Raw genomic sequence first — 21,751 nt, forward strand, 5'->3', positions numbered from 1 at the left:
AAGCCCCTGTTTTTTAAATTTCCTAAGAGGACTCAATATTACAATACCCAAAATGGATTTTATTTTTTGTGATTATATTTAAGCCATTTGAAGCCTCAGCTTCACGCCTTTCATCAGTGTGTTAGTCGTTTCAAACAGATATTTTCATTTTGCCACAAATTAAACCCTACTACTAATAACCGATCAAACTATTTCCTCTGGATAATCATGTAAGTACCAAATAAAAACGGTGATATAGTTTGATGATGTGATACCCAAATCACCTACTTGCTGGCTTAGTAATTAATGGAAATGAAATGCACAGAGCTACCACATAAACATATTGAGACCCGTTATGTTCGCAATCATTTTATTATCCTCAGTGCCTTAGAGTTTCGTGTTATTAATACCAATATATTTCCATCAGTTGAATCAATAAGGACGTGTTATAATGAATGTTTCATGCTCAGTCTTGAGGATAATAGAAAAACTGACAGACTAAAAAATGGCTGGTGTTCCCTTGTGTTCTAATCTGAGTCATTATGGTGGCTGCGGGGTTGTTATCCCGGCAGCTCTTTCCTCTCTTCACAGCATGCTGGTGTGTGCTGCCCCCAACCACTTTGCAGGCTCCCATGATGAGCTGCAGGATGGCAGACAAAGCCATGTTTTCTGGGGGTCAAAAGGCTGAGCCCCATCAGGATGTTCCTTTAAACAGGCTCTTCAGCTACAGCAGAAGGAGGATGTGGAGGCAGCTCTTCTTGCCCTATGGGAAGGGAAAGACAACCTCTCCTTCCACCAGCAGAGAGATGGAGCTCTCATCTCTTCTTCCTAGGGAAAGAGCTTGGAGGTAAGCACAGCCAAGCGTCAGAAAGCTGCCTTGTGGGCTGCCCAGCTGGACAAATAGAAAGTTACTGTACAATGTATTGTCATGATTAGGATGGTAAAGGGTGTTTCACGAGCCTATGAAAACAGTGCCTAGCTTTGTTCTAGAGAAAATTTCTCAAAGGAGGTGAAAAACAAATGGAGACATTAAGAGTGAGAAGTTAGCCAGAAGAATTGAAGGAAGAGAGGGGCCCGGGGAGAAATGTACTGTGCAGATCATTCATGCAAAGCAGATAAAGCTGACAAATCCTCTATCCATATGGATAGTAGCTAAGAGCATGTGGGGGAGACAAATAATACATAGATATTTGACAGGAGCTATGATAAAAAACAACACAATAGTAGGAAAGAATATGGGGATAGATATTTTATACAAAATCATCATGGAAGACAGCTCTGAGGAGGTGACATTTTAAAACAAACATCTGAAGGGAGTGAGGGAGTTAGACGTGGATTGGCTTTGTGATTAATGGAAATGAAATGCATGGAACTTCCACATTAAAATATTCTGGGCGAAGAGTCTTCCAAGACAAGGGAACAAAAAGTGCCGTTCTGAAGCAGTAGCACACGTTTGTTGTGTTGAAGGAACAGCATGAAGACCAATGTGGCAGATGCAGAGGTAAGAAAGGTAGCCTGGATATGGATTGTATAGGGTCTTGTAGACATTGGTCAAAACTTTCAAAAGATAGCTTTGGCTGCTGTCTTAAAAAAAAAAAAAAGAGTGGGGTGTGAAACATATGAGAAAACAAAGTGACAGGCTTAGACACAGTTGCAACATCACGAAACGAGGGTGATGGTGGCTTGGATTAAAGTTACAGCAGGGGAACTCAGATTCAGGATGTATTTTCAAGGTGCAAATGACAGGATTTGCTGATGAATTGAAAGCAAGGTATGACAGCAAGGTTGAGGAGAACAATGTCAAGGTTTATAACCTAAACAACTGAGTGAATGGTGGTTTCATTTAACTTAGATAAACACAGAAAGAGAAACAGGATTGGGACTAGTCGGGAGAAGAACTGGAAATCCTGAGTTCTGTTTTAGGAAAATGAGGCTAAAGATTATAGTCAGACTTCCAGAATTCCGCTACTTTTTAGTATATATGAATTTGGAATTCAGGGGGAAAGTCAAGGCAAGGTGTACACATTTGGAAGCTATCAGACTAAAGAGAGTATATAGAGAAATGGGCCTGAATGTAAGAGCAGAAGATATCTGAGGACTGAGCCCTAGCCCATTCCAACCTCACTTAGAAGTTGGGAAGAGGATGAGGTTTGAACAAAGGAACCTGAAAATAAGTAGCCAATAATACAGGGTAAAAATCAAAAGAGTATGTTGTCCTAGACATCAAGTGAAGAAAGCATTTCTGAAAGGAGGGGATTATAAATTGAGTCATGTGCCTCTAAAACAAAGATTGAGAATCAACCATTGGATTGAGCAGCATGAAGATCTCTGGTGATCTTTGCAATTTTGGTGAAGTGGTGGGGACAAAAGTTTGACTAGATTGAAAACATAGGAGAAAAGGAAGTGGACAGTGAATATAGCTAATTTGGTAAGAATTTTTGCAATAAAGAAGAGCAGAGAAATGAAGTGATAGATGAAAATGTTTGGTCTAGAAAATATGTTTCGTAAGGCACAAAATATTGCAAAATACTTGATTGACAAAAGGAAAGTAGTCAGGAGAAATTGTCAAGGGAAACTTATGGCACAAGAGAGATGGGAGAGTTGAGGAAGCAAGTCTTTATTAGGATGACAGGTGATTGTATCTGGGGCATAAGAAGACAGGCAAAACCTAGATGGGAGCAAGACTCATTCTTCCATAGTGCTGGAGGAAAAGGCAGCATTTGCAGGCACAGAAGTGTGGATGTGGGTGGAGCAGAGACCATCAGTTCACGGAGAGAAAAAGAAGTAGTTTTGTCAGGCTGGAGTCTAGAGTGTATAGAGGATAGTTGTTGAATGGACACATGACATCTTCAGTTGATCACCTCAAAATGAGTTTGAGATGTTGATCTTACATGATCATGACTTAGGTTTAAAAGAACTGCTTGGAGAAATTTCCAAATGTGCTTAAAATGAAATAATTGTACACTCTTTCAGCACATCTGCTTTAAATAATAACAAGAATGCCTAACATGTGCCACATGTCAAGCATTACTCCAAGTATTTTGCAGGTATTAGACTATTTAATCCTCGCAACAAATCTAGGAGGTAAGTACTATTATTATTCTCATTTTGCAAAGGAGAAAACAGAGGCATATAGAGATTAAATTACTTAAGACAAAAGTCTCACAACTAGAAAATGGCAGAGCTGGGATTTCAGCTCAGAAAGTCTGATACAAGAGCTCATGTTATCAATCATTTGCTATATTGCCCTTCTGATCAGCGGCCATCTCGAGGTGTAAGTTCTGTTAAACTTCTTTGTAAAAGTAATGAGCCTTTGTAGTCACTTCTTTGATGAATGACCTGCACAAGGTTTATAAAGTGTGACTGGGAGAGGGGCAAGTACAGGGAGATTGGGAGAATATTCCAGGAAGTCTGGCAGTCCAGCTTCCCCAGGTCTGGTGAAGAAGTGTTTGATCAAGGCGACACGTGGCCGTGCTCCTGAGAGTTCATGCTCCTACCTCCCAGGTCTCGCTGTCTCCGCTGTGCACCTCCTTGAACAGCTGCACTGGCTGAAGGACACTACGTGACCCAAAACAGGGGCTCACCCACCAAGCTTCTCCACAGCCAACTGTCTAAGCATCCAACCAAGCCATTGGGCCCAACAGGCAAACATGACTGCAACGTAAACAGCCAGTACTCACCATGTTCTCTCTGTATTTTCCAGACTTCTGTAGAGTTGGGATGAAACTACATGCTGAGATCTGGCCAGTGGGCTGTAAGTGGAAGTGACAGTGGCATGTGTCAGTCCCAACCCAATGCAGTTTAGAGTTGTTTTTCCTCCTCTATTTCCCTTTTCCTTCCTGGGCCAACACTTAATTCCAGATGGTGGATCCAGTTACTGACGGAAAGGGCCAGCTAATCCGCATCAGATTTTATGTGAATGAGAAATATACTTCTGCTCAGTGAAGCTATTGAGGCTTTGGAGGGTTGATTGTTGAGGCAGTTATCAGTAATTACCTTAATAAAGCAGGCAAGCAACTTTCAGTCACCAACATGGTTCCCAGGGGTCTAGGCTGTGGCCTCTGCTGGAGCAAGTGGTGAGGAGAAGAAAGGTTGAGCCCAGAAGTCACTCAACCAGCCTGCCATGATGGCAGAAAAGAGGAAGGGGCTTTGGTTGAAGGCCATTTTGTTGACGGAAACAGAAATTGCCTCAAGGTAGCGTAAGTACAAAGAGCTAGAGAAATGAGAGAAACTACTCTCTAGAAATAATAGTTCTCTAGAAATAGAAAGCTACTATTCTAATGGTAATATTTCTCAGGGCCATCTAAAAAGCCAAAGAATAAAATGTGTCTGGGATAAAAAAGGACAGACAAAAATTAGAAAATCAGAGAAGTTAACCATTCTCAGGAATCATATGGTTTCTCCTCTCTCTGGTTCTCTTTCTCTGCTCTTGGCCTGGCTTCATCTGATTGCACTTGACTCTGCTTGGATACACGGTTCTGACCCTATGTGATCTCTCATGAGTGTCTGCCACCATCCGAGTGGCTCAATCCCAAACTATCTTGATTCCAAATTCCTTTGTGACAGAATGGCATTGGTTCAGCCAACCCATCTGTGCTTGACCTGAATCAGGTGGCTATGATCTTCACCAAGTTCAATTAGAACTGGCCACAGGGAAGGGTCTTATGACCTCAAAAGTGGCTGTGAGAGATGGGGCTAGGCAATTTCAGATCAGGTACTGGGCCAAGAACTTAAAACAGGTCTACCACAGAAGAGAATTTCTAGGAGGCTTTATGACAGAATTGCTAAAACACTTAAGGAGTTAAAGGAGGCATTATAGAGACGAAAAGATACAGTGTAAGTAGAAAGAAAAAGAATGTCAGGCCAGAAGGAGGAATGAATGCGGAAGTGAGCCCCAAGTCAGAGTTGGCTTCAACTCAGGGCAGGCCAACAGCTGCAGAGGGTGCTGATCTGCCATGCACGCAAAAGCATCATTGAAACACATTGGAAATATAGGGCCAGTTAATTTCAGGCTTCCATATGTGGCATCACCAGAGAAATGTAAATTGGTTCTACTGCCACTGATCTAGAAGTATCCTCAAATATACAAAATATGTTGATATTCCTTACTAGGGCTGCATGTCTCTACTGACATTTCTGCAAGTTGCACAGAGCAGCTGCAACTCCAAACCAGCCCACTGACAGTTGCCTGAGGTTAACTCTCAGAGTCAACAACATTTGAAAGTGGTTTTATGCCTAACATAGAACTATTTAGCAAAAATAAAAGATTTATTTTTACATACATTTCAAATTCTATAATACGTCTCCCAAGGAAGATACTTCAAGCTTCAGGAAGTCACCAAAGAGAGCTGAAAAGAGAACAGAACTATAGAAAAGTGTTTTTGTGGAATTGTTTTCACAACATTGACTCTGCTTGTGCCAGCTGAACTGATTAAGTAAACATGTTTCAAAATAAAATATATGTTAATAGAAGATGAGTTATCATCATCTCCATTAAATGTTTAGAGACTATTGGTTGGAACGGATGTCACATTATTAGCTTGTTTGGTAAGCATCTTAATTCAGCTTTGGTTGGCCTGTGCAAAAACAGGAAATAAGTCACTGTCCAGTCCTCAGCGATCATGCTGATAATCATGGAAAACCCTAATTACCCAGGAAAATGACGACAACAAAAAAATGCTAGATGGTGTCTGCTAAATGGTGTGGTATAAAGCCTCAACATCCAATGTACCCTGAAGACCCCTACAAAGGAAAAGAAAGAGAACACTTCTTGAGATTGTTTGTACAGAGTTAATAACTTAATCCTGTGGTTACAACTTAATTCAGGTATAAAGACAAACTTTATGAATGAAGGAAAAAAATCATTTCAATAAACTGTGACACACTCTCTCTTAATCCTCGCTTCTTCACATAGTAAACACGGATCCAAAACATTTCCACAGTACAAGAATGAATAAACTTCCACAGACTTATTAAATGAGTTTCTTTTACGATGTAGTACATTAAAATTTCCTTCTTTTTTCTCTTTCTTTCTAGGATCTTTAACACCCCCTATCCGGTGTTACCTCAATGCTGGTATTCATTGCATCAATTTGTTGAGAATTTGCTAAATTAAACTAAACTACTCATGGAGACTCTACTGTGTGTAGGATAGTGTGCCAGGTATTACAGGGACTATAATGTTGAACTAGAGTTCAGCATCTAATACAGAAAATCACCTCTTAGTCGTGGCTGGGAGGTGGACCATGGTATGGAACTGAATTCACACAGTAGGAGACACCAGAAATCCAGGGTAGCAGAAAGAAGATAGGACCCTAAGGATAGGCCCCTTAGAGGATTGATGCTGGCCAAGTCAGCCCCTGGGATGAGGAAAGGCCAGCAGAATGACAATATCCAGCTAGATAGAGGGAAAGGAGCTCAAAGGAATTTCATAGCAGGTGAAGCTCACACATGAGGAAATTCATAAGGAGGGGCTAGGAACTGGGACCTGACCCTCAGGGCAGAGGCTTGGGGAAGCCACAAGCAGGGATTCTCTAGGTTGTGGAAGCCCTAGGGACCTGGGACAGAACCTTGGAGAATGCTGTCATTTAGGGGACATAAAGAAGTCATAGTGAAGAGGAAATGAACATGACCTCAGGATATTGCAGTGTCACAGAAACTAAATGGAGGAAGAGTTTGTGGGAGGAGGTATTAGTCACCAGAAAGCGGACAGAAAAAGCCACCAAGTACTGATTAGGAAGCTATGAGAGACCTTCTGGAAAGCCCTGGTGAAGGACAGCTAAAACAGTTGCCTAAGCAGTTCTCTGTGCCTTCACTAGACAATTCTGGCAGGTTCGCATGACGGGCATCTTCATGGCAAACGCCACACTCATCTATGATGAATCACGTTTTCTTTCTGAGTGTCAGTGCACATGACTCCCAAATAGTATGAATGTAAGTCATTCTTAATTCCGACAGGTACTCGACTGTGTTTCCAAACAGAAAGGGAATTATTTTTTTCTAACCTTGCTATTGTGAGAGCTGAAAGTCACTCACTGGATTTAATTCTTTTTTTGTGATCAATTATTTTATGACAGTGAGATATCTAAATTGCCATTTGGATTGGCTGCAGGAATAAGGCTTACAAAACAGCAACAGTGTAGCTGGGGACCTGCAAGCAATGAGACAGAGTAGTGGGCTAACCACTGTCATGTGTGAGGGACATAGTCATGCGGCTGTTCATTCTCAACACATAGTGCCTGTAGACACAGCTAAAAGGCGCCTGTCTGGGTGGGTAGTGGGGATGTAGAACACCAAAGTCCCAGGACACACCCACATGATAAAGAGTAAACACTCCTCCTCCTTTTGCCTTTTGATATAGGAGTTATAAAGTATTTTTCAAAAAGGTCTGCCTTTGCCAATTATACTTCATGTCATACCTGTATTTTTAAAAGAATTAGAAGCTCTGAGTTGGAAACATTGCCACATTACTTCCTAGCTGTGTGATTTTAGGCAAATCTATTTACCTCTTCTGTGAGCCTCATCTATAAACAGGGATAAGACAATCCCATCTTGCAAGCAGGGCTTACAGCTCCTGCATGTAAGATATCTTGCACAAGCAGATGATCAGTAAATGATAGTATTACATTATTATTGACAAGTGGATCTTCATCTCTCTAGCTCTTGTAAATACAACAGTTCAATAAAGGAGAGCATGATAACCTGGTAGAAATGAGGACTTTAATGCTAGGCTGTTTGCCAAATTTAAGCAGAAGAGCAGGGACATGACTGATGTATTAAGCTCCAGTCTTAATATATCCCTTATAGAAAATGCCAAGGGAAGATCATGGCCCAGTGGCCCACCAGTTCAGTTCCCAAAGTGCCAAGTCTGTGAACCCGTCTTTGTTTGACACATCCTTCCTAGGGATTAAAAAAAGGAAAGAAAGAACAAAAACCTTAAACTCCTAAACCATTAAAGGGGAGCTGGGGGAAAAGATGAATCCCACATCCACTGAAGAAAGTTGAAATATAGAAGCAGTTGAAATATGAAATTCAGCCAATAGAAAAGAGAATAAAATCTCAAGACACCTTTCAGGGTCGAACATGTCCAGTCACTAAGACATGAATTGTGTTGTGTATGTTCTGCTTTTTTAGGCAAGGTATGAGCTTCAGAGGCATAACTTGCTGAAAAAAATGAGAAAAGTAAGTGGTGGTTTTTTGAAAGCTGATCATGCACTCAGGCTGTTGACATTTGCTCCGTGGTTTTATATACCACTATCTGAGAACCATGAGTATTTTTCACTATAAATGCCTGAATGGATGTACTGTGTCTGCTGGCTTTGGAGACCAGAGTCAACTTAAATTACCCAGGGCTTAGATGGGAGCCAGTGTGGAGAACAGCAGTCAGCTAGATTTCAAAGTGCAGCTTGGAGTTTACAATCCCTTTAGCCCTAAGGGATGCTGACCAAAGGGTAGTGAGCAAAATTGGTGGATGCCTCAGAGGATAAATCTGAGAACAAAACATGTTGGAGAGAGACAGGAAGAATACAGACATTAGTTCATGTGATTCAGTTGCAAGTGATAAAAAAAATCTGCTTGGGATAGACAAAACAAAGAAAAGCATGAGATTTACTGAAAGGGATTAACACAAGCCAAGGGTCTTGTGTTACCACACCCTGGGACAGGCAGCATTGCAGCAGGCATTTGTGGACTATCCTGCTGGACAGGACCAAGCTCTCAATGTCCAGTATCTGTGAGTCTCAGTGAAATTGTGCCTCGCAGGGTGAAATGGACCAAAGAGCAGGATTAAAGGGGGCTGGTGACTAACAAAATTTATGAGTTTGTTTTCAGGATGTCTACTTACAGGACCACAGGGCCAGTTGAAGCTGGCCAGAATCAATGTCTGACTGGAGCTTGTACCAAGATTTGCCTGCCCACTGGGTGAACTTTTGACAGCACAGCCCAAATTTCCACCACATGTTCCGTATCAAACCCCCTTAATTTACATGTTCAACCCATGAAGAGATACGACAGGATAACTGCACATGCCCAAGAGGCTTTCCTAACTTCCCTTTACCCTCCACCAATCCTTAACCAACCCAGAGACCCAACTTCTAAAACTGCTGCCCTTAAATACACAACTTGTGAGCCGAAGAGGGAAGATGGATTTGAGCCCATCTTCTGTCCCCTTCCTCAGCCATCTTAAAATAATCCTTTCTCTCTACAAAAAATCAGGTGCTGCAGTGTTTGGCTTTCAGTTGAATGTGGGCTAATGGACCCAGTTCAGTTAGGTAATACCAGTTTTGACAAACCAAAGCACATATTTGGCTGAGGTGTGTCGAGGGAGGCACATTCTGAGGAAAGCATGGTTTTACCAGGCACCTTTCTTGAGCATTAAGTGTCTCCCAGAGAACAGGGGTCAAACCACTACTCAGTGCTTGTTCACCATGTAGAAGAATGGAGAAAGAGATGGGACAGGAAACAGGACTCCTCCATTGACAGGGTGTTTCCAGCAACTGATAAGTATTTATGGCATGGACTTTTATCTAAAATGACATTTGAGAGACAAGAAAAGTAGAAACAACCCATGTATCAATGGAGGGATATGGAAAACATGATATATGCACATAATGGAATATCATTCAGCTTTAAAAGGAAGGAAATTCTGACATAGGCTACAACATGAATGAACCTTGAGAACATTATGCTAAGTGAAATAAACCAGTCACAAAAAGACAAATACTGTATGATTCCATTTATGTGAGGTGCTTAGTCACATTCGTAGATACAGAAAGTAAGTACAATGTTGGTTGCCAGAGGCTGAGGGCAGGCAAGAATGGGGAGCCAGTGTTCAATGGGTACAAAATTTCAGTTTGGGAAGATGAGAAAATTCCAGGAAGAGATGGTGTAATGGTTGCACAATAATGTGAATGCTCTTAATGCCACTGAACTGTACACCTAAAATGGGCTAAAATGATAAATATTATATTATGTATATTTACAATATAAAAAGCAAAAAAAAAAAGAAACCTATATACATTACGAAGAAGGGAGCAAAGAGAAAGCAAATGAATGTTTATGTTTGAATTATTTCATAATATTAATAACAATTTCTATAGTAAAACAGCAAATGTTCTCTGGTCTACAGAAACCTGCCATTGTACCCTTTGTTTAAATCTAGGCATGAGTCATTTAGGGGTTTGCATATGCCATTTATTTCCTTTTTTTGTTGTGCTTTCTTTTGTCCCCAGAAGAGCCCACCAAAGCACCCTGCAAGGAAAAGCATCAGCACTTGAGTATCTGTCACACAGAAAGCCTCAAGCTAAGTAACTACAGCACTAAGTGAGACCTTCCCCTTACTCTTTCTTTTTCCTGTCACAATCCTGAAAAAATCCAGAGGCCCAGAGCAATGGAAAAGGGAGCAGGACAGATGTGAGGCCCTGATCTAGAGGAGGGGGAAGTTGTAGGAGAAATTGAAATGTTGATGTAATACTAGACAGGACTTCTTAAGATGAGACTTTTAGATGTCAGGAAGTGGTAAAAATAGCTAGAACATTTGCCTGAACCATTATTGGGGGGTGGGAAAAGGAGTTTCAGCACATCAGATTTAAAAGGCAATACTGAGAAAAAATAGTTGCTTCCTACTTGCACCCTACTAAAAGCAGCTGGCTCAATAGCAGAATTAAGCCCATATTACATCTTTGCCATGATCCTAAAGAGATAGAGATTATCCTCTTCCCATGTAAGGAAACCAATATTTGAATAAGTCAATGAATGTATCCAAGGTCCTATTAGTAAGTTAAAGGATCAGGGTCTAAAGCCTACACAGTTCTCTATGTGCCATGCTACCTGCCTCCCGAGTAGCTGGGACTACAGGTGCCTGCCACCATGCCCAGCTAATTTTTTGTATTTTCAGTAGAGATGGGGTTTCACCATGTTAGCCAGGATGGTCTCAATCTCCTAACCCTGTGATCACCCCGCCTCAGCCAACCGAAGTGCTGGGATTACAGGCGTGAGCCACTGTTCTCGGCCCTACAAATACTCTTAATACACCAGTACATGAGCATGCAAAGGACAGAATGTAATGACACTTTCTTTTGTAATGTTTGCTAGGAAGGAACCTTGCAGTGACTGTGGCAACACGATACTGCCAAGGATATCAGTTTGGCCTCCAAAATGAGGTTTTCTGGAATGCAGGATCTGAGACTCCCAGTTTTAAGCCAAGGATTTAAGGAAGTTCATTGCAATTGCATTACCAGTATTTATAAGTTTTAACTTTGAATTCAATCCTCATTTAGTGGGTGAGGTAAATAATGGTTGGTGCTTTGTGAACTTTTATGGCTGGAGTGATGGATGGCCTAAACAATTGGCAGTCTGCTCTATCCATTCATTAACTCTAAACTACATATTTTCCAGGTTCAACTCTGAACTTAGGTATTTCAAATAGATGACATATTTCCCCTTGTTCTCCAGGCTGCTGTATTTATAGCCCTTGCCTTCTGAATCCTCACTTTTCCCTCTTTAGATGTCAATGATAGTTCCATCCACTCCAGAAAACTACTATGGAGGAGGAAGAAAAAAATTAAGGCCATTATGACAATTTTTTTATCCTTCAACTGCCTCCCCTGTATCATTCTGCCTGTGTATGGGGGTAGCATCCCATACACCAATTCTCCTGTTAAATTCAGATTTCTTAAAGCGTATTTCAAACAGCCTGTAGGTGTTCTTTCTCCCGACATGTCACCTATCTCTTTCTTAGTAACTGTTCAGTTCTATTTCCTTCCCTACATAGCTAATAAAAGATCCAAGAAACAAAAAGTCTTTCAAAAGACATCTCCACCTATGTCAGCTATACATAGCTATGAGTGCTTTCCCCAAAGGTCAGTGTCAGGAATTCACATCTTCTGGTCCTGCTACAATTGAGGCCAGTGGTTCTTGGCCTTGACTGCTCAGCAGAATCACCTGGGAAAATACTAAAACATACTGGGCATCACACAAGACTCATTAAATTAGAAACTCTGGAGAAGTCATTCAGGCATGGGTAGATTGTAAGTCCTCCCAGGTTCTTCTAACATACAGCCAGCATTGCAAACCAATTTTCAAGGTCACGGCTACTCAAAGGGTGATTGCAGACCAGTGCTGGTCAGTGAACTTTGTTACCATTTGAGACAACATAAGTTCATGCCAGCATCCAGTATATCATTACACACACTTTGGTTCAGCTGCCATTTTTTTTTTTTAATAGCAAGAATGTCTCAGTGAAAGAAGCAGTGCATTGATTTACTCTCCAGCAAAAGCTCCTTAGCTGTTCACTGATATACAACCAAGAATTTGAAGGCTGATTTCTTTGGGTAGCCCTTCTGTAAGTCTTTTTGGCATGCTCAGATATTTCCAGAATTCTTTTATTTCTGTAGCCTCTTTACATCCTGAGCATTTACTTCCAACATTTATTGTTATAGTTCTGAGTACTATGTACCAAGGAGGTTATCAATGTCCCTGAACTCTCTAGCATCACTTTACTAGGTTTGAACTTCTGCCATTGAATGCGTATTATTCAATGGATTATTAAAATGTGCAGAAGACCAGATTACCCAGACACTGGGCCACTGGAGAAACTGTGAAGGGCTTTGAAGTGTTTGAGACTTCAGGGATTCCAGTTCAATGGCAATAGGCATGCTCTGCCTTCTCCTCCACTCTCCCAGTCTTTCTTTGTTCTCTCCCCTCTATTCTCTTCTACTCATGGTCAGCTTGGGGGGGTATACAGGAAAGTCACTGACCAATATAGAAAAATATGGAAAACCTCAGGACAGGGCCTACCCCTATACTCCCAAACCAGGGCCATTACTCCAAAAGACATTCTTTCTTCTGGATCTTGAAAGTCATGTTAGGTAAGGGAGTGTTTCAAACAGCCTGTAGGTGTTCCAGGTGAGGCTGAAAATATTCCTGGAATGTGTTAAACTTAATGATCCAACAATTTAAATAGAAGAACAGAGTAATATACTGTAGAAATCAGAATAAAGATAAGCATTTTGTGGGAAAAAGAGAAAGTGCAAATAGACATTTAAGAGCTCCTTAGAAGGCAGCATAAGAAAAGGAATTCTGCATTTGAAACAAGATCTCATTTTCTATCCTGAATCTCTCTCTTTATATTTGTTAGACAGTGTTTTCAACATATTCATGCATGAGTTTTCACATTTACAAATAGGTCACAGAGCATTTGCCACCAGATTATTGGGAGGCTTAAATGTGGTAATGTATGTACAAACAGCCCAGTGCATAGCACCAAGTAATTCTGTGTTCATTCATTCATCCTCTCAACAGATATCTATTGTCAGGCACTGTGTGAGGCACCAAGCATCTGGTGGAGGGAAAAACAGACATTACTGCTGCCCTCATGGGGCTTAGAGGCACATGGAGACACAGAGAAGAATCATCAAATCATAGACATAAATGTATAAATAGACATATAATTCAAATGGAAACAAGTTAGTATGAGCAAACATAATGGAGACATCTTATCTCATTTGGGGTTAGGAAGCATTTTCCTAAAAAAGCCATGTTTAAGCCTAACTCTGAAGGAGTTCACTGGGTATGAGGTCAGGGAGGAGACTTGACTCTAGAATAAAAAATAAGAAGGAAACTTTTAGTTATGATATTAACTCCATATAAATCAGCCTCAATTGAAAAAGAATATACAGACTGACATAAATGAGAAGTCTAAGATCTGGCACTGCCTTCCAGCACTGGCTCAGACAAATGTCACCAATCATCTGTCTTTTTTCTGCATCTCCCGACCCACTTCTCCTTTGTATTAGCTTCATTCTCAGACAGGCTTTCTCCACTCCACTATAAAATACACTGAACATAGAACATACCTAAAAGCTGTTATCTCAGAAGATGAGAGGTTCTCTTTCTCCTAGAATTCATATTGACAGACAAAGTAGGACTCTCATTGACCCGTACTTGGGGTATAACATCCAACTCTGAACCAACCACTGGAGTACCTTGATGTGGCAGGTTGGGCCCTATGCTCCTCTTGTGAGCGGAAGATGAAGCCAAGTGACAGAAAACCCAACAGACTGAGGAGAGGCATTTTGGAAAGAAAGAGTGGGCGATGAACAGAGAGGGAACTCACAGATGTCTAATACAGGTCAATTGATGTAATATTGGGCATAAGAGCAATGGGAAACAATGTAAGGCTTTTAAACAAGGAGGTGAAATAATCATTATATCTGCACTTTGATACAAATCACCTGAACTGCAATGTGGACAGTAAATTGGAGGCTGCATAGCAGATGTGGGCAGACCAGTTAGGCTCCTTCAGGCTGAAGATAACAATATGAACTAGGGTGGTAAGAACATAGATGTAAATAAAAGGATCAATTAAAACTAGTTCAAATCAGTAGTAAAATCAACCATAAAGAAAAACAGGGTAAAATTATCAGTGGTTGAATATAGATTGGACATCTGAGAGGAAAACAGAACCAGTCATTATGGGGAAGACCTTGAACATGATCTTACACATGTTGAGGTTGGGGTGCCTTCGAGATAGTAAAATAAAGCTGATGAATAGGTCATTGGATCTGTATGTCCAGAGTTCCTAGAAGTTATACGGACTGGAGATGCAATTTTGGGAGTCAGTTGCTGGTCAAAGCCATGAGTATAGATGAGATTGACTAGGAAAATAGCACAGAGTGATAAGAGCCTATGACTGAACTTAGAGGACATGCAATTCAATAAACAAATGTTTACATGGTTTTGGCCAAAGTCAGACATCCTATTCATCTATGCAGAGCCCATTTTTCTCTTCGTAGTTGCACATCTTCCTTCTGTTCTATACACTCACCCAACAGCATGCTTCCTAATTTGACCCTTTTAATGGGAATGATTTCACAGATTATTTTAAATTGCTACATGAAAAACAAATTACAAAGATTGAATATCCAAGTATAGAGGTTATTGTTGTAATTAAACAAAACCCACAACAGAGTTAATCAGGTGCATATTGTAATGCTATGCATAATTTTTATTATACTGCATACAAATTAGCCTCAAATGGTAGGCAGTTCATGAAAATGACTGCAATCAGTATGGCTGTTACGCAGCTAAACCAAATCAAATTTTTAATTTTTCTCTTTTTACTGGATTAGTTCTCCAGTATGTCATCATTGTTAATGTCGACTTGTTTTCCTGTGCATTATTTTATCATACACATACATGTGCACACATGTGCATGCACACTCACGAACCGTGAAAATTTTTCATCAATGGCTAGAATTACCTTGTTCCTGGCACTCTTATTAAATGTATAACAATTAGATTAAGCTAGGTTAAGGCAAGATAACAAATGACCCCCAGAATCACAGTGACTCATAACAACAGAAGTTGAGTTCTTATGTTACGATATGAATAATCTCTCTCTCTCTACCCTCCCTATTGTCTTTGGGACTCAGGATAATGAAATAGTTTCTATTCTGGATAATTTATGGTCATTGTAGCAGATAGAATGAAGGGAGAACACAGATTAACAATGTTCACTCTTAGAGCTTCTTCCCAGAAGTGACACCAACCACTTCCATTCATTTCATCAGCCAATGCAAAGTTACACAACTAGGCAGTAGTCAGGAAAGACAATGCTTCCCCAGGGCAAGCAGAAAATATTTTGAAAAATACAATTTCTTATCCTGCCTCACTTCTGTAACTCCTCCTTGGAACCCCAGATTTGAGGGGGTTTTGCCCTTTCACTTACTGTCATCTTGCCAGTTCTCCCCAGTATCCTCATACGAGCTGCGTTCTAAAACAACAACACTCCACCCCACAATTCTCTGCTGAGTGTCTTGGCTACAAGGTGGTTTGTGACAGCAAAACTCCACAGCACTGAGGCTCTGGGTTGGCTGTCCAGCAATCACCATGATGTGGGAGTTGAGGAGGTGGTGGTGGCAAACCAGAGGGAATGTGCAGCAGTGAAGACAAAGATACGGGAGAGAATACACTGAGAAAGAGGTATGCTAGTGCACAGCCTACAAAAACTTATTTTTAGAACATCCCTAGATACTCTAGGATGAATATAGGGATAAGCATAATATTTCCCACATTGTATATATATTCTATCAAGTATCAGAGCTAGTATTCAAATCAACAGGCTAGTATTCAAATTAGCCTATACTGCCTAACCCTGTCACTACCCTCTACTCACATCCTCAGCCTCCCCACTCCTTGCTATGCCTGTTGGATTCCATGCCCCACCTGACAAACTTATTTGCACTGCACTCCTTTTCCCTAAGCCGGCCCTCTCCAGGGGGGAACATCCATTTCTTCAGGTTTTGCCCTCCCAGTTTGCTCTGCTGTTCTATAAATAACCATCCCATGGATGAAGCAGCCTTTGCAAAGAAAAATGTGTTAAGTATGAGAAGGTCATGGTTCTCATCTCTTCCAATACCAGCGAATGAATTTCTATCAAGGGTGATAGTGCTATAGATCAACGTTTGCTTTTTTTGGGAGAAAGTCCAGAAAAGCAGTGAGGTCTTGGAACCCAAGCACGGAAGAGAACACTCACAAAGAAAAAGAGAATCAGAAAGAGAGGCTAAGTAAGCAATTGTCTTTCTAAGATGACCATTTTCCTTCCATTCTCCCAATAAAGACCAGTTTCTCTCTCTCTCTCTCTCTCTCTCTCTCTCTCTCTCTCTCTCTCTGTGTGTGTGTGTGTGTGTGTGTGTGTGTGTGTGTGTGTGTGTGTGTGTGTCGGGGTGGGGTGTGGGGTTTTATGTAGGGGAATGGGGTACATGTGAGCGTGTATGGGAACAGTGTATCAGGTAATAGGTAAGGCTGCAAGGCAGGAGCTTTGAATCTTATTGAGGAGATTAGCAGGACTTTGAACACTAGATTGACTACAGAGCTTCAGATATTCTATTCCTTCCCAGTTTCTCTCAGGGTCATCTGGTCGAGTTTTAGATGGGCCATAACCCCAAACTCCCTTACTAGTTTTTGCTCATGCCAGTGCCATATAGCTTTCTTAGAGTTTTCACCTGACCTTTTAGGTTATTTTTTTCCCAGGGCTCTCTGTTCTCTATAATCCTAGTATGTTTCTTGGGTATAGGATAATAACGGTATTTTAAAAAATAATAATTTCAACTTTATTTTAGATTCAGTGAGTATACGTACTGGTTTGTTACACAGGTATATTTTGTGTTGCTGAGGTTTGGGGTACTATAGATGATCCTATCACTCAGGTAGTGAGCATAGTACCCAATAGGTAGTTTTTCAGCCCATTCCCCCTACCCCTGCTAGTAGTTCCCAGTGTCTATTGTTTCCATCTTTATGTTCATTTGTACTAAATGTTTAGTTCCCACTTATAAGCGAGAAGAGGCAGTATTTGGTTTTCTGTCTCTGCCTTAATTTGCTTAGGATAATAGCCTCCAGTTGCATCCATGTTGCTGCAAAGGACATGATCTTGTTCTTTTTTTATGGCTGCACAGTATTCCATGAGTATCTATGACATTTTCTTTATCCAATCCACTGTTGACAGGCATCTAGGTTAATTCCATGCCTTTTCTATTGTGAATAGAACTGTGATGAACAAGAGTACATGTGTCTTCTTTGTAGAATGATTTTCCTTTGGGCATATACCTAGTAATGGGATTACTGGGTCAAATGGTAGTTATCTTTTAAAAGTTCATCCCTTACTTACACCTTACACAAAAATTAATTCAAGATGGATTAAAGAATTAAACATAAGACCAAAAACCATAAAAACCCTAGAAGAAAACCTAGGCAATACCATTCAGGACAGACATGGGCAAAGACTTCATGACTAAAACACCAAAAGCAATGGAAACAAAAGCCAAAATAGACAAATGGGATCTAACTCAACTAAAGAGCTTCTGCACAGCAAAAGAATTTATCATCAGAGTGAACAGGCAATCTACAGAATGGGAGACCATTTTTGAAATCTATCCATCTGACAAACGGCTAATATCCACAATCTAAAAAGAACTTAAACAAATTTACAAGAAGAAAACAACCCCACCAAAAAGTGGGCAAAGGATATGAACAGACACTTCTCTAAAGACATTTATGCAGCCAACAGACACAAGAAAAAAATGCTCATCATCACTGGTCATGAGAGAAATGCAAATCAAAATCAAAATGAGATACCATCTCATACCAGTTAGAATGGCGATCATTAAAAAGTCAGGAAACAACAGGTGCTGGAGAGGATGTGGAGAAATAGGAACACTTTTACACTGTTGGTGGGAGTGTAAAGTAGTTCAACCATTATGGAAGACAGTGTGGTGATTCCTCAAGGATCTAGAACTAGAAATACCATTTGACCCAGCAATCCCATTACTGGGTATATACCGAAAGAATTATAAATCATTCTACTATAAAGACACAAGCACACATATGTCTATTGCAGCACTGTTCACCATAGCAAAGGCTTGGAACCAACCCAAATGCCCATCAGTGATAGACCGGATAAAGAAAATGTAACACATATACACCATGGAATACTATGCAGACATAAAAAAGGATGAGTTCATGTCCTTTGCAGGGACATGGATGAAGCTGGAAACCATCATTCTCAGCAACCTTACACAAGAACAGAAAACCAAGCACCGCATGTTCTCACTCATAAGTGACAGTTGAACAATGAGAACACATGGACACAGGAAGGGGAACATCACACACTGGGGCCTGTTGGAGAGTTGGGTCTAGGGGAGGGAGAGCATTAGGAGAAATACCTAATGTAGATGACGGGTTGATGGGTGCAGCAAACCACCGTGGCACATGTATACCTATGTAAAAAACTTCCACATTCTATACATGTACCCCAGAACTTAAAGTATAATAATTTTTTTAAAAAGTTCTTTGAGGAATCTCCAAACTGCTTTTCACAGTGACTGAACTAATTTACATTTCCATCAACAACATATAAGCATTTCCTTTCTCTGCAGCCTTGCCAGCATCTGTTATTTTTTGACTTTTTAATAATAGCCATTCTGACTGGTTTGAGATGGTATTTCATTGTGATTTTAATTGGCATTTCTCTGATGATTAATGATGTGGAACATTTTTTCATTTGTTTGTTGCCCACGTGTATGTCTTCTTTTGAGAAACTTCTGTTTATGTCTTTTGTTCTTTTTTAAATGGGGTTATTTGTTTTTGCTTGCTGATTTATTTAAGTTCCTTCTAGATTCTGAATATTAAACCTTTGTTGGATGCATATTTTGCAAATATTTTCTCCCATTCTGTAAGTCGTTTACTCTCTTGATGGTTTATTTTGCTGTGGAGAAGCTCTTTTTGCCTAATTAGGTTCCATTTGTCAATTTTGGTTTTTGTTGAAACTGCTTTTGGGGATTTAGCCATAAATTCTTTGCCAGGGCCAATGTTGGAAAGAGTATTTCCTAGGTTTTCTTCTAGGATTTTTTTTTTAATTTTTTTTTTTTTGAGATGGAGTCTTGTTCTGTTGCCCAGGCTGGGGTGCAGTGGTGCAATCTTGGCTCACTGTAACCTCCGCCTCCTGAGTTCAAGCAATTCTCCTGCCTCAGCCTCCCGAGTAGCTGGGACTACAGGTGCGTGCCACCATACCCAGCGAATTTTATGTATTTTTAGTAGAGATGGGGTTTCACCATGTTAGCCAGGATGGTCTCTATCTCCTGACCTCATGATCCACCCGCCTCGGCCTCCCAAAGTGCTGGGATTACAGGCATGAGCCACTGCACCCGGCTGCTCTTCTAGGATTTTTATAGTTTGAGGTTCAAATTAATCCATCTTGAGTTAATTTTTGTATATGGTAAAAGGGTTCAGTTTCATTCTTGTGCACATGGCTAGCCAGCTATCCTAGTACCATTTATTGAATAGAGAGTTCTTTCCCCATTGCTTATTTTTGTCAACTTTGTTAAAGATCAGATAATTGTAGATGTGTGACTTTATTTCTGGGTCCTCTATTCTGTTCCATTCATCCAGTGATAGACTGGATAAAGAAAATGTGGCATATATACATCATGGAATATTATGCAGCCATAAAAAAGGATGAGTTCATGTCCTTTGCAGGGATGTGGATGAAGTTGGAAACCATCATTCTCAGCAAACTTACACAAGAACAGAAAACCAAGCGCCACATGTTCTCACTCATAAGTTGGAGTTGAACAATGAGAACATATGGACACAGGAAAGGGAACGTCACACACCGGGGCCTGTTGGTGCCTATGTGTCTATATTTATACTAGTACCATTCTGTTTTAGGTACTGGAGCCTTATAGTATAGTTTGAAGTTGAGTAATGTGATGCCTGCATCTTTATTTTGTTTTTCTTTCTTTTTTTTAACTATGGATTGATTTTGCCATTTGGGCTCTTTTTTGGTTCCATATAAATTTTAGAATACTTTTTTCTAATTAGGTAAAAAAACAACATTGGTAGTTTGATAGGAATAGTGTTGAATCTGTAAATTTCCTTGTGCAATATGGCCATTTTAATGATGTTGGTTCTCAAAATAATAAGAGCCATCTATGACAAACCCATACCCAACATCATACTGAAGAGGCAAAAGCTGAAACCATTCCCTTTGAGAACCAGAACAAAGCAAGGACTCTCACCACTCCTATTCAACATAGTGTTGGAAGTCCTAGCTACAACATCAGGCAAGAGAAATAAATAAAAGGCAACCAAATAGGAAAAAAAAATTAAATTATCTCTCTTTACTGACAACATGATTCTATACCTACAAAACTCTAAAGACTCCACAAAAATGCTCCTAGAACTGACAAATGACTTCAGTAAAACTTCGGGATTCAAAATCAATGTACAAAAATCAGTAGCATTTCTACACACCCGTAACATTCTATCTGAGTGTCAAGTTAAGAACACAATCCTATTTACAATAGCCACACACACAAAATGAAATATCTAGGAATGCAACCAGCCAAGAAGGTGAAAGATCTCTACAAGGATAAGTACAAAACACTGCTGAATAGAAATCAGACATGATACAAATAAATGAAAAAACACTTCATACTCATGGACAGGATAATTATTGCAATTCTTTTGATAGCCCAATTTGTGGCTTCTGTATGATGCTGACAATTCTGGCACTTTGTCTGGTATTTCTATCTGAGGCTGTTAGACCCCTGACCTATTAACTTTTTCAAGTGCATAGTTAGAAAACGTGAACTTTCTTGTTTTTGTATCCCTGGTACAGCATAATTTTAAAGATCAATTTTAGATATTTTTTGAATAGTTCTCCTCTAGAGATTAGTTTATAAAATACAATTCAGTAAAAAAAAAAAAAAAAGTACAGTTCAGCCACCATCAAATTAGAAAACCTTGGAGTGTCAAATACTCCCATCCATTAAAGCAATTTCCATCAATATCAAGTCCTGCTTGTCTGATGTTGTCCAATTAAGAACAATGTGAAACAGGAAGTGTCTAGAGATGCTGATTCTCATTTTCTTTTTCCTTCCTTTTTTTTATTCCCATTTTCATTAGTAACAAAGGTCAGTGCTCATTTCATCTAATTCCCCTTCTATGGATCTGAAACCTGATGTTACCATGCAATTGAGCAATCGAGTTATACAAACGTAGTTCCTTGGCCATAAAAATTTAAAATGATCGATGGTGGATTTCCCATTAATTTTTAAAGTGCTTTGATTGCTCTACATTATTATAATATTTATGTCAAGTCATTTTTTGAAACTGACATTATCTCTCTAATTTTGCAGTGATTCCTTAATTTGTTGATCAGCTGATCTGTTGATTCACTAGGTAGAAAATTACTAGGTAGAGCAGAGGTATTTTT

At 40.0% G+C, this 21,751-nt stretch overlaps 1 long non-coding RNA gene across 12 annotated transcripts in view; it reads right to left on the minus strand.

Moving 5' to 3' along the window:
- Window positions 1-332: 332 nt before the first annotated feature.
- Window positions 333-21,751, minus strand: part of LINC02715 (long intergenic non-protein coding RNA 2715) — an 82,249-nt gene continuing 60,830 nt past the window's right edge. For 11 of the 12 annotated variants that reach the window (NR_187370.1, NR_187368.1, NR_187375.1 and 8 more), the window contains 3 exons: window positions 5,262-5,327; window positions 3,660-3,731; window positions 333-819 (listed from right to left, as the gene is read on the minus strand). This is a non-coding gene — a long non-coding RNA (long intergenic non-protein coding RNA 2715). The remainder of the gene's footprint in view (window positions 820-3,659; window positions 3,732-5,261; window positions 5,328-21,751) is intronic. The other variant, NR_187373.1, reaches the window with a different exon arrangement.

The sequence above is a fragment of the Homo sapiens genome, chromosome 11 (assembly GCF_000001405.40).
Source record: "Homo sapiens chromosome 11, GRCh38.p14 Primary Assembly".
NCBI lineage: Eukaryota > Metazoa > Chordata > Mammalia > Primates > Hominidae > Homo > Homo sapiens.